This window comes from Homo sapiens, chromosome 20 (genome assembly GCF_000001405.40).
Source record: "Homo sapiens chromosome 20, GRCh38.p14 Primary Assembly".
Taxonomy (NCBI): Eukaryota; Metazoa; Chordata; class Mammalia; order Primates; family Hominidae; genus Homo; species Homo sapiens.
The window spans coordinates 13,043,972-13,056,514 of record NC_000020.11 but is presented as its reverse complement, the minus strand read 5'-3'; the positions used below and the strand labels follow the sequence as shown (position 1 = coordinate 13,056,514).

Sequence of the window (12,543 nt, the reverse complement as noted above, 5' to 3'; positions counted from 1 at the left end):
GATTGCATTAGTCTGCCTGGGTGACAGAGTGAGACTCCGTCTCAAAAAAAAAAAAAAGAAAAAAAGTTAAAGCGTCAGTCTATGGACAGGGTTGGGAGATCAAGTCCCATCAGAAAGATAGTGACTGCAGTTAATTAGAACCTGTCACTCTGAAATGCTGTAAGTCTCTAACGGGACTCAAATTGAACAAATAATAAAAGGTATGCCATGTGAAAGGCACATTTATCTACATGAGTCTATTGACTATTGCTCTGGACCTCACAGAGATCAGATAGGATGGAAACCATTTATTTTGTAAAGAAAGGTAAATCATTAATTTATTTAATGCAATGCATTTCTCCTGTGGGGCGGTTCGAGCAGTTCTTGTAGCAACAGGGGCAAGTGTTGAAGTGCAGGCTGCCATTTGATGTCCATAGCCCATCGTTCAGAACTGATGCATCCATTCCCCTAGTTGCTAGGAGCATTGGAGGCTTACAGCTCCATGAGGATTGCCTGGGTCTGAAGGGATCTTCCTCCACCAAGATCCCTGGTGGCAGCTTCTATCAATGCAGGAGTAAAAAGATCTAGCCCCCTTCCCTCAGCTCAGATGACTCTTGAAAGGCCCTCTCATCTCCGGAACTCCTTGTGGGATTCGTTGAGGCCTTTGCTGGGTCTGCATCATCACAACTCACTCCATCCCCTCTTTCCTCTCCAACTCCCCTCCCTCCTGAGCCATGCCATTTCCTTCTCTGCCTCACAGGTGCTGATCCCAGGAGCACACCCCAATAACCTTCCTGCATTCAGGCCCCCATCCCAGAGTAGGCTTTCTAGGAAACAACTCTTCATGTGTATTTTTTTTCCTGATAAAATGTAAGAAATTGCTTTAGATAAACAAGAAGATTAGACCTGCTAGTTTAATAGAGCAAATACACTGAAAGGTTAGAAAATAGATTGTAGATTTGAAGCCTAAGCCTTCCAAGAAATGCCACACCTGAGAAATTTACATTTGGTTCAGCCTTTGTCCCTGTGCTCTGAAATGTGCTGATTTATTATGCATTAGTTACTTGTACCTGGGGAGCAGGCCGACTGGTGATAAGAGCCTCTAGAACAGTGCAGCTGGTGGGGTTAGGGGCCATGGAGATCACTGTGAGAATGCCCAAGGAGAATTCCCCTTCAAATCCCATTTTCCCAGTTACATTGTCAGCTCTACTAGGACCAGAGAAACCTGCGTCTCTGGAAGCATGCTGAGTTGTCTCCTGCTTGATTTAACTGTTTCTTTATCCTTTATAACTCAAGAACCTTTATGTCCTCAAAGCTGTCTGTGGCCACCATTTTGCCAACAGAACCATTTCATTGTAATGGATGTGATGTTGCTATCCATGTATCTGCCCAAACTAGAACTTGAGATTCCCCTATTTTCCTCCTTCTATCTTATCTTCTGTACACTCAGCCACCAAGACTTATTGATACCTCCTAAATATTCTCTATAATTAATTTCCTTTTCCTTCCACCTGCCTCTTTCCTAGTTCAAGCACAAATAACCTCGTTTCTAAACTACTGTTAACTTTTTTTCTTGTCACTTTGCTTTTCGTCTTGAATTGGGACTCTGTCTCTGAAATCTATTAAATTTTCTGAAGTTCTTCACTTTCTTTTCATCCTTTCTCTTTTTTCTCCATGAACTTACCCTGGAAGATCTTGTCTACTTCCCTGGCTTTGATTCCTGTCGACATGCTGAAGATAAACTGAAGATGTTACAGTATCCCACTGAGACTTTTTCCAGAAGTCCAGATCTTTAAGTTTAGCTGCCAGTTCTTCAAACTCAACTTGTCAAAAAATGAGTTGACTACTTTCTCCCTCCAACTGGATCTTGCTTCTCTATTACCCATCTCAGTGAATGACACCACCTTCTGCTACCTCTCATAAACCTGGATGTGGTCTTTGATTTGTCCTTCTTCCTATTTTCCTAGGTCAAATCAACCATCTCTAACTCTACCTCTTAAACATCTCCTGGCCTTTTCTCTTGTCACCAACCCTATTGTCACTACCTTGGTCCCAGGCCAACCATCTCACCTAGATTTTTTTAAACCTGTATATCTGCATCAACCTCTTAATGTCTTTTTTGATCTCTCTGTTGTCTTTCTGCAATCCATTTCTCACAGGGTAGACAGAATTATCTTTCTGTCTACAAATATGCATTCCTTTGCCTGAAGTCCTTCAATACTTTCCCATTGTTCTTATAATACATGTCCATGGCTTACTAAAAGAACCCATTATAGTCTGGCCCCTGCTTGCCTCTCAGCAGTCTTTCTGCCCACATACTCCCACTCTCATTCACAACACTCGGTCATTGGAATTCCGTGGTTCCTTGAATGTACAATGCTTTCTCTAACCTCTGGACCATCTTGCACCATATTCTCTCTTCTTAGAGATTCCTTTTCTCTCTTGATTCACCCTTTGCCTTACTATTTATTCATCAGCGTCTAGATCCCAATTTAACTTTCTCTTTTACCCAGAAGTTTTCATTAAACACCAAATCAGGTTAAACATTTTTCTCCTGGATAATATCCTGAAGAGTGTTTTCCAACTTGGTTCCATTCTCCCTGTCACTTTCAGGTACATCAATCAAATGTAGGTTTGGTCTTTTCACATAGTCCCATATTTCTTGGAGGCTTTGTTCGTTCCTTTTTATTCTTCTTTCCCTAATCTTGTTTTCACGCTTTATTTCATTAAGTTGATCTTCAATCTCTGATATCCTTTCTTCCGCTTGATCAATTTGGCTATTGATACTTGTGTATGCTTCACGAAGTTTTTGTGCTGTGTTTTTCAGCTCCATCAGGTCATTTATGTTCTTCTCTAAACTGGTTATTCTAGTTAGCAATTCGTCTAACCTTTTTCAAGGTTCTTAGCTTCCTTGCATTGGGTTAGAACATGCTTCTTTAGCTTGGAGGAGTTTGTTATTTCCCACCTTCTGAAACCTACTTCTGTCAATTCGTCAAACTCATTCTCCGTCCAGTTTTGTTCCCTTGCTGGCGAGGAGTTGTGATCCTTTGGAGGAGAAGAGGCATTCTGGTTTTCAGCCTTTTTTTGTGCTGGTTTTTCCTCATCCTCATGGATTTATCGACCTTTGGTCTTCTATGTTGGTGACCTTCGAATGGGGTTTTTGTGTGGACGTCCTTTTTGTTGATGTTGACGCTATTCCTTTCTGTTTTGTTAGTTTTCCTTCTAACAGTCAGGCCCCTCTGCTGCAGGTCTGCTGGAGTTTGCTGGAGGCCCACTCCAGACCCTGTTTGCCTGGGTATCACCAGCGGAGGCTGCAGAACAGGAAATATTCTGCCTGTTCCTTCCTCTGGAAGCTTCATCCCAGAGGGCCACCCACCAGATGCCAGCCGGAGCTCTCCTGTATGAGGTGTCTGTCAACCCCTGCTGGGAGGTGTCTCCCAGTCAGGAGGCCTGGGGGTCAGGGATCCACTTGAGGAGCCAGTCTGTCCTTTAGCAGAGCTCGAGTGCTGTGCTGGGAGATATGCTGCTCTCTTCAGAGCCAGCAGGCAAGAACGTTTAAGTCTGCTGAAGCTGCACCTGCAGCTGCCCCTTCCCCCAGGTGCTCTGTCCCAGGGAGATGGGAGTTCCATCTATAAACCCCTGACTGGGGCTGCTGCCTTTCTTTCCCGAGATGCCAGGCCCAGAGAGGAGGAATCTAGAGTGGCAGTCTGGCTACAGCGGCTTTGAGGAGCTGTGGTGTACTCCACCTAATTTGAACTTCCCCACTGCTTTGTTTACACTGTGAGGGGAAAACAGCCTACTCAAGCCTCAGTAATGGTGGATGCCCCTCCTGCTACTGAGCTTGAGTGTCCCAGGTTGACTTCAGACTGCTGTGCTGGCAGCAAGAATTTCAAGCCAGTGGATCTTAGCTTGCTGGGCTCCGTGGGGGTGGGATCCACTGAATTAGACCACTTGGTTCCCTGGCTTCAACCCCCTTTCCAGGGGAGTGAATGGTTCTGTCTCACTGGTGTTCCAGGTGCCACTGGGGTGTGAAAAAAACCAAACAACAACAAAAAAACTCCTGCAGCCAGCTTGGTGTCTGCCTAAACAGCTGCCCAATTTTGTGCTTGAAACCCAGGGTCCTGGTGGTGTAGGCGCCTGAGGGAATCTCCTGGTCTGCGGGTTGTGAAGACTGTGGGAAAAGTGTAGTATCTGGACCAGAATGCACTGTTCCTCGTGGCACAGTCCCTCAGGGCTTCCCTTGGCTAGGGGAGGGAGTTCCCCAACCCCTTGCGCTTCCCAGGTGAGGCAGTGCCGCACCCTGCTTCGGCTTGCCCTCTGTGGTCTGCACCAACCGTCTAACCAGTCCCAGTGAGATGAGCCCCGTACCTCAGTTGGAAATGCAGAAATCAAATGCCTTCTACATTGATCTTGCTGGGAGCTGCAGAGCACAGCTGTTCCTGTTCGGCCATCTTGCCAGCCACACTGGTTATTTCCTTTCTTCTGCTGGGTTTGCGTTTGGTTTGTTCAAGTTTCTCTAGTTCCTTGAGGTGTGGCCTTACAGTGTCTATTTGTGCTCTTTCAGACATTCTGATGTAGGAGTTTAGGGCTATGAACTTTCTCTTAGCACTGCCTTAGGTTTTGATAAGTTATGTCATTATTGTCAGTCACTTCAAAGAACTTTTTAATTTCCATGTTGATTTCATTTTTGACCCAGTGCTCATTCAGGAGCAGGTTATTTAATTTCCATGTATTTGCATGGTTTTGAAGGTTCCTTTTGGAGTTGATTTCCAGTTTTATTCCACTGTGGCCTGAGAGAGTGCTTGATATTATTTCAATTTTCCTAAATTTATTGAGTCTCATTTTATGGCCTGTCATATGGTCTATCTTGGAGAAAGTTCCATGTGCTGTTGAATAGAATGTGTATTCTGCGGTTGTTGGATGAAATGTTCTGTATATATCTGTTAAGTCCATTTGTTCCAAGGTATAGTTTAAATCCATTGTTTCTTTGTTGACTTTCTCTCTTGATGACCTGTCTAGTGCTGTCAGTGGAGTACTGAAGTCCCTCACTATTATCGTGTTGCTGTCTGTCTCATTTCTTAGGTCTGTTAGTAATCGTTTTATAAATTTAGGATCTCCAGTGTTAGGTGCATATATGTTTAGGATTGTGATATTTTCCTGTTGGACAAGGCCTTTTACCATTACATAATGTCCCTCTTTGTTCCTTTTAACCACTGTTGCTTTACAGTTGTCTGATATTAGAATAGCTACCCCTGCTATCTTTTGGTGTCTATTTGCATGAAATGCCTCTTTCCACCCGTTTACTTTAAGTTTATGTGAGTCCTTATGTGTTAAGTGAGTCTCCTGAAGGCAGCAGATAGTTGGTTGGTGAGTTCTTACCCATTCTGTGGTTCTGTATCTTTTAAGTGGATCATTTAGGCCATTTACATTCAATGTTAGTATTGAAATGTGAGGTATCATTACATTCGTCATGCTCATTGTTGTCTGTGTACTTTGGGTTTTTTCTTTTTTGTTTTTGCTTTTTAACTTGTGTGTGTGTGTTTTTTAATAGGTCCCACGTGATTTATGCTTTAAAGAAGCTCTGTTTTCCAGGATTTGTTTCAATATTTAGAGCTCCTTTTATCAGTTCTTGTAGTGGTGGCTTGGTGTGAATTATCTCGGCATTTGTTTGTCTGAAGATGACTGTATCTTTCCTTCAAATATGATGCTTAGTTTCGCTGTATACAAAATTCTTGGCTGATAATTGTTTTGTTTGAGGGGGCTGAAGATAGGGCCCCAATTCTGTCTTAGCTTGTAGGGTTTCTGCTGAGAAATCTGCTGTTAATCTGATAGATTTTTCCTTTGTAAGTTACCTGGTGCTTCTGTCTCACAGCTCTTAAAATGGTTTCCTTTGGATAACCTGATGACAGTGTACCTAGGTGAAGATCTTTTGGTGATGAATTTCCTGGGTGATCTTTGTGCTTCTTGTATTTGGATGTCTAGGTCTCTAGCAAGGCCAGGGAAGTTTTCCTCAATTATTCCCCCAAATATGTTTTCCAGGCTTTTAGAATTCTCTTCTTCCTCAGGAACATTGATTATTCTTAGGTTTGGTTGTTTAACATAATCCCAGACTTCTTGGAGGCTTTGTTCATATTTTCTTATTATTTTTTCTTTGTCTTTGTTGAATTGGGTTAATTCGAAGACCTTGTCTTTAAGCTCTGAATTTTTTTCTTCTACTAGTTCAATTCTATTGCTGAGACTTTCCAGAGCATTTTGCATTTCTAAAAGTGTGTCCAAAGTTTCTTGAATTTTTGATTGTTTTTACTTTAAGCCATCTATTTCCTTGAATATTTCTCTCTTCACTTCTTGTAACATTTTTTGGATTTTCTTGCATTGGGCTTTGCCTTTCTCTGGCCTCTCCCTGATTAGCTTAATAACCTCCTGAATTCTTTTTCAGGTAAATCAGGGATTTCTTCTTGGTTTGGATCCATTGCTGGTGAACTAGTATTATATTTTGGGGGGTGTTGAAGAGCCTTGTTTTGTCATATTACCAAGGTTGGTTTTCTGGTTCCTTCTCATTTGGGAAAGTCTAGGGCTGAAGACTGTTGTTCAGATTCTTTTGTCCCTCGGGGTGTTCCCTTGATGTATTACTCTCCCCCTTTTCCTATGGATGTGGCTTCCTGTGAGCTGAACTGCAGTGATTGTTGTCTCTCTTCTGGGTCTCACCACCCACCGAGTCTACCCGGCTCCAAGTTGGTACTGGGGATTGTCTCCACAGAGTCCTGTGATGTGAACTGTCTATGGGTCTCTCAGCAGTGGATACCAGTGCCTGTTCCAGTAGAGGTAGTGGAGGGTGCAGTGACTTCATCAGGGTCCTTAGCTTTAGTGGTTTAATGCTATATTTTTCAGATGCTGTTAAAATTCTTACAATGCCCAAAAAAATTGGTTCAAAATATTAATAGTGTCAAAGGTGAGAAATCAGATTTAGATGAAATAAAAAAGTCCCAGTTCACTCAAATGCACTTTCCTTTTCAGGATAGAGCATAAATAATACCCAACTTACAACTAGAAGACCAAAGTACAGTCCCACCCAGGAGCACTTGCTTTTATATTTTGATGTTTTTATCTTCAAAATTATAGTTTAATATCTATATCATGGGGTTGTTACAAAAATTAAATATTACAAGGTATGGGAAAAGCCTTAGTTTGGTATGTGGCAAATAGTAGTTGCCCATGAGATGTTTGTAAAAACAGGTCCATAAGCCCATGGGTAATGGGGTTTAGGAGGTGGAGATGAATGAAATTTGCCCTGAATAGTTCCTGAGCACCTCATGCTTTCTAGGATCTGCACCTGCATCACCACTTCTGAGAACACTTTAGAGAGGAGTAGGCATTGACAAAGATCCAGGGAGGTGCGCATACGTACTTTTTGTTCTTTTCTTTCCACAGCTGCGTTGCATTTTTCTATTCCCCAGTTTCTTAAAAAGTCTCTGAGATAGCCAAACAGGGTTCCAATTCCATATCCCATGTAAGTGAAAACCATAACATGAAGGGGTGCTTCCTCAAACGATTCAACAATGAGCTTATCATAAAAATGTGGCTTCCCATTTTGCTGAAAACACAAAAGAAAATCCAAGGTTAGCATTCTCCTGTTACAGATATACTATGATACCTAAAATTGTGAACTTTCAACCCTTTGAATTCCAAAGGCCATATTTAAGATTGTAAATAAATTAGAAACTGACCATTGAAGAGGGTAATCAAAAATGCAAACTTTATTTTACAAGCCATAGTAACATAATTGATTCAAGCAAAAGTTCTCAACAGAAACTCAAACCATTGGGTGAAGAGTTAATGAGGAACAGAGTGTTTGCAAGTTGCTAAAGTATGACCCCACAGCTTACTTCCTAATCACAAACTTGGGGTCGTTACTTTAACCAGGTGATCAAATTATATCACAAATGTTGGAATAAGCAGCCACTCTACACTCCTGTTATGTGTAATATTCAATACACAGCAAACCTATGAAATATTTAACCTGAACTTAGTCAAGCTCTTATGTTTAACTTCCATTTTACAAGAAATACTAGACTAAAGGAACATGGTAAACGACCTTATGTGAAAACAATCAGATAATCCAGAATGTAGAACTTTCTATAGGACAACTGTCCTGGTCTTTTAAAAAAGTCTGATAAAAGAAAAGAAGTGTGGAAGAGAGGACTTAAGGGAAACAAGTAAATCCAGTGTGTGTTCCTTCATCAAATTGTTTTCTTTCTTTAATTTTTGTGTGAAAAACCAGGTGAAAGACAAATTTTGAGCAACTGTGGAAATCCAAATGTGGACCATATGTATTTGTAGGTCTCAAAGAACTTGCTTTATGCTTTAATCTGGGTGCTCCTGTATTGGGTGCATATATATTTAGGATAGTTAGCTCTTCTTGTTGCACTGATCCCTTTACAATTATGTAATGCCCTTCTTTGTCTTTTTTGATCTTTGTCAGTTAAAGCCTGTTATTCTTATTAAATTCTTATTAAAGAATTATTAATTGTAGTAGGAAAGATAGAGATATTTTTAGTTACATCACATAATGTTTTAATCTTTGTGATGCATGCTGAAGTATTAAGGGGCAAAGCATTATAATAGCTGTAGTTCTCTTTAAGGTGGTTTGTCAAAATTGCATAAAAACATAAAGCAACTTTGAGAAACGTTAACTCTTGAATCTGGATGGAGAGTATATAGGTGTTCATGATATTATTTTTTTCTACTCTTCTGTATGTCTGAAATTTTTCATAGTAAAAAGTTTAAAAAATTTTCTGTTTTATTTCACTTTTCAGTAGAAAGTGGACTTTTAACACCAAACCATTCTGATGACTGTTTAATTGATTTGCACAGAGTAGCTCAAACAACATCTGCTCAATTGATTAGTAAATACGTATCTCTAATGCTAATATTTAATTGTTTTAGTCCTTAATAAATATTTATACATTCATTTATTATTTCATTCAATAAATACAAATCAATCTGCAGATTTCCCATTTCTTAAAGAGATGACACACAAAAAATGTTTTGAATACTTGGAATACATAACTTTTAGTGATTTACAAAAATTGTCAGATCTCTACTAATATTTAAGGTACTAATTTAGCTTATACATATATATGTATTTAGATGTATTTAGAATGATTTATGATATTAAATCGTGTACATTTGAAATACTGTTTTGACGATTCTCCTAGTCTTTGTCATTGTAATCAACACAGTTTTCCAGAGCATATTATCTTCATTCCCTCTACATTATATGAGAAGCAGAATTTTTGGAATCTCTGTGATTTAGTCACTGGAAGTTTTATCCCAAGCCACAAAAATAGATGAAAAGCAAATCAGTCTGGTAGATGAATATTTTAAATCTCTACATTATTATTCTTAAAGAAATTTTAAAAGCCTTTTTATAGTGATATCTAAAATTTGAATTCTTAAGTCAAAACATCACAAAATATTATTAAAATGGCTTGCCTCCTTATTTATTTATTATTTCAGGTTACTTCTATAGGTACCCCAAACTAACATAGGTGGATATTCCTGTCTAGTGTGTCATCCCAAACACTACTTCATGGCATAAGCTAATGAAAATGAAAGAGCATTGGTTAATAGGCAGTCTTGAGTAAAAGGTAAATGAAAGGTTATACTCTTGGCTTGTATATAGGGCATTTGTTGCATGCCTTCCCTGAGCAAGCAACATGTTCAGCACTGGGGATTCAAAGATGAACAAGACAGACCCCATTCCTACTCCTCCCTCTAACTATGTCCTTACCCCAGTCATGTAGGTCTGATGGATGGCTGATCTTGCTATGCTATTTTAGTACAAACCTTTGGCTCCTTTCCTTGGCTCTGTTCTGCACTTGAACTTTAGACTACATCGATCTCCACAATTCCAGGTGACTTCCTGGCCCAGTTAAGACCCACCTCCCACATCCTTCTGCATCACAGGGACACAAAATTGGCTTCCTTGCTGGATTTGTCCAGACTCTAGCAAAAGGGACTCAGAGTCTCATGAAGGAAGACATGTTGGAACTTCTACTGATTAGATATGAAGTCAAGGAAGAGGAAAAAGAAAACTATCTGCAAGGAGCAGTATAGTATTGTTGATAAGAAGAAAGAAGGACTTGGAAGGAGGGCTGCTTTTTGGAGAGAAGACATGAGTCTGTACAGAACATGCTAATTTGGGGGTGGTGATTGCCTGCATAAATTCCCAGAGCACTGAGGAATGTAGGAGAAAAGGAAGACCCTGACTGAGTCAATTACTACGGGCCACAGTTTAAGTCATGGTTGAAGGTGAATGCGATAAGGTACAAATCATAAAGAGGGAAGAGCAGTAGGCTTGGGACAGAATTTGTGGATACAGTGCTTTTTCCGGTACCACAGAAGAAAAAGGGTGAATAAAGGGAACCCAGTGTGGGTGACCTCAGAACCTTAATTTAACCTGCTTGCAAATTAACCCCTTTGGCTGACTTAGAGAATGGCTAAGTTATGTGGGTGTACATAAAGACAGAAAATGTGAGGACATTCAAGTCCAACCCATGGCAATCAGCAGGTTTTCTCTTCTTCCTTTCCTGGCCCCATCTTCATTTCTGAGCTTCACCTGTAACCAAATCAAGTGGTGCTTTTCTCTTGAAATCCATAGGCAGTTTCTGCTTGAATTGGCTCTGAGGCAACCCTGCACTGTACATCACAGATGGTCTACCTAGATGCAAATAAAACCCTCAGTTGGTTGCACAGACTGGGCCTATATGTAACTATTTACTTGCCCCTGTGACTTGTTCTGGAAGCAAGTAATAACACAAAGGAGAAAATTTCAAAAATGTCCATCAGCCCAAACCAGGATCTATTTTCCTCTCATATAAATAGATACATTTTAAATTTAATGTCACTTAATTAATTTTATTTGGCAGAGGAAAAATGAGATATCTTCACAGAGAAAAAAGCTATCTGGAAATGTATTGGTCTCCTTAAGAGATAGCTAGTGACTCACTTACTATATTCTTTTACTTATAATTGAAGTCAGTCACACCTCCCAGGAGGAATTCCTCAATCTGTTGTTGGATAGTTATTTTGAAATATAAAATTTCATCCTATCAAAGTAAATGAAGCATAAAATCTTGCTTAATAAGTTTGCATTTATTAAGCACTTGTTATTACTGCAGATAAGCATTGTTATTTGTAATACACTTTGGCTTGTTCTACCTTTTCTTTCGCAGCCTTAAAAATAAACAGACCCTGAGCCACATTGCCTACAGTATCTAGTCGTTTGGGATGATGTGACATCCTGGGGTTTGTTTACTTCCTGCGCTTCTGTCATATCTGGAAATAAACTGGGTGCTGGAATATGCAGGGAGCCCTTTACAGACAATTACTCTTCTGTTCAATAGGTAGCTCTTTTACTGGCTGTCCTAGGCTAACATTAGAGGAGATATGAAATCAATAAATACAGTATGTTTTCCCCAGAATTGATAGTGCAGTAGGGTGTGTGTGTGTGTGTGTGTGTGTGTGTGTGTGTGTGTGTGGTGGGGACACAAATGACCATAATGTAGAGCAAAATGTGAATGTCAAAGGATGATGCAAATGAAGGGACCACATCACACTGGGTGATCAGGAGTGATTCTTGAGGAGGTTGAACTGGAGTCTGGTGTTGCTGGGTTGTCGAGCATAACAATGAAGATGATTTGCTCAGGGGTCAGACTTTCCTTTGCTGCCTGTGTGACCTTGTGAAAGTCACTTAATTTTTCGAGGCCTCAAATGTCTCCAGTGCTAAGTGGGGCTAGTAAAGGTCACTTTTGAAAATTAAGTGAGATAGTATATGCAGGTTACCTGCTACAATACAAAAACTCATTAAATGTTACGATTTTTGTTAAATATTCTGAATAGAGATGATAGATGAAAACTATTAGAATGGATAATGCTGCTTTTAGAGACATATTTGAGAAAAAAGAGAAAGACAATATTTTCTCTCGGTCATATATATTGACCAAGGATATATATGGCTTCCTTGCTGGATTTGTCCAGACTCTAGCAAAAGGGACTGAGAGTCTCACGAAGAAAGACAGGAGACCAAGGATATACATTGACCTAGGATATATTGATCAAGAATATAATGTATCAGCTGGGCGCTGTGGCTCATGCCTGTAATCCCAGCACTTTGGGAGGCCGAGGTGGGTGGATCACCTGAGGTCAGGAGTTCAAGACCAGCCTGGCCAACATGGTGAAACTCTGTCTCTACTAAAAAATACAAAAATTAGCCAGGTGTGGTGGCAGGCACCTGTAATCCCAGCTACTCAGGAGGCTGAGGCAGGGGGAATTGCTTGAACCCAGGAGGCAGAGGTTGAAGTGAGCCAAGATTGCATCACTGCACTCCAGTCTGGGTGACAGAGCAAGACTCCATCTCAAAAAAAAAAAAAGAAAAAAAAGAAACAAGACAAAAGAATATAATGTATCAATACCTAGGGAGAAGAGGGAGAATGAGGGTCCTCTAAGGAGACAGCAAGTGGGAGAGGGAGGAAGAGGTGAGGGACTGAAGAGTGACACTAAGTT

General features: G+C 40.3%; 1 protein-coding gene across 5 annotated transcripts in view; it reads right to left on the bottom strand.

Moving 5' to 3' along the window:
- SPTLC3 (serine palmitoyltransferase long chain base subunit 3) overlaps positions 1-12,543 on the bottom strand; it is a 160,132-nt gene that overhangs the window by 112,589 nt on the left and 35,000 nt on the right. For all 5 annotated transcript variants that reach the window (NM_018327.4, NM_001349945.2, XM_011529279.2 and 2 more), the window contains one exon: positions 7,385-7,570. In NM_018327.4, coding sequence (NP_060797.2) covers positions 7,385-7,570 — 186 coding nt within the window. The remainder of the gene's footprint in view (positions 1-7,384; positions 7,571-12,543) is intronic.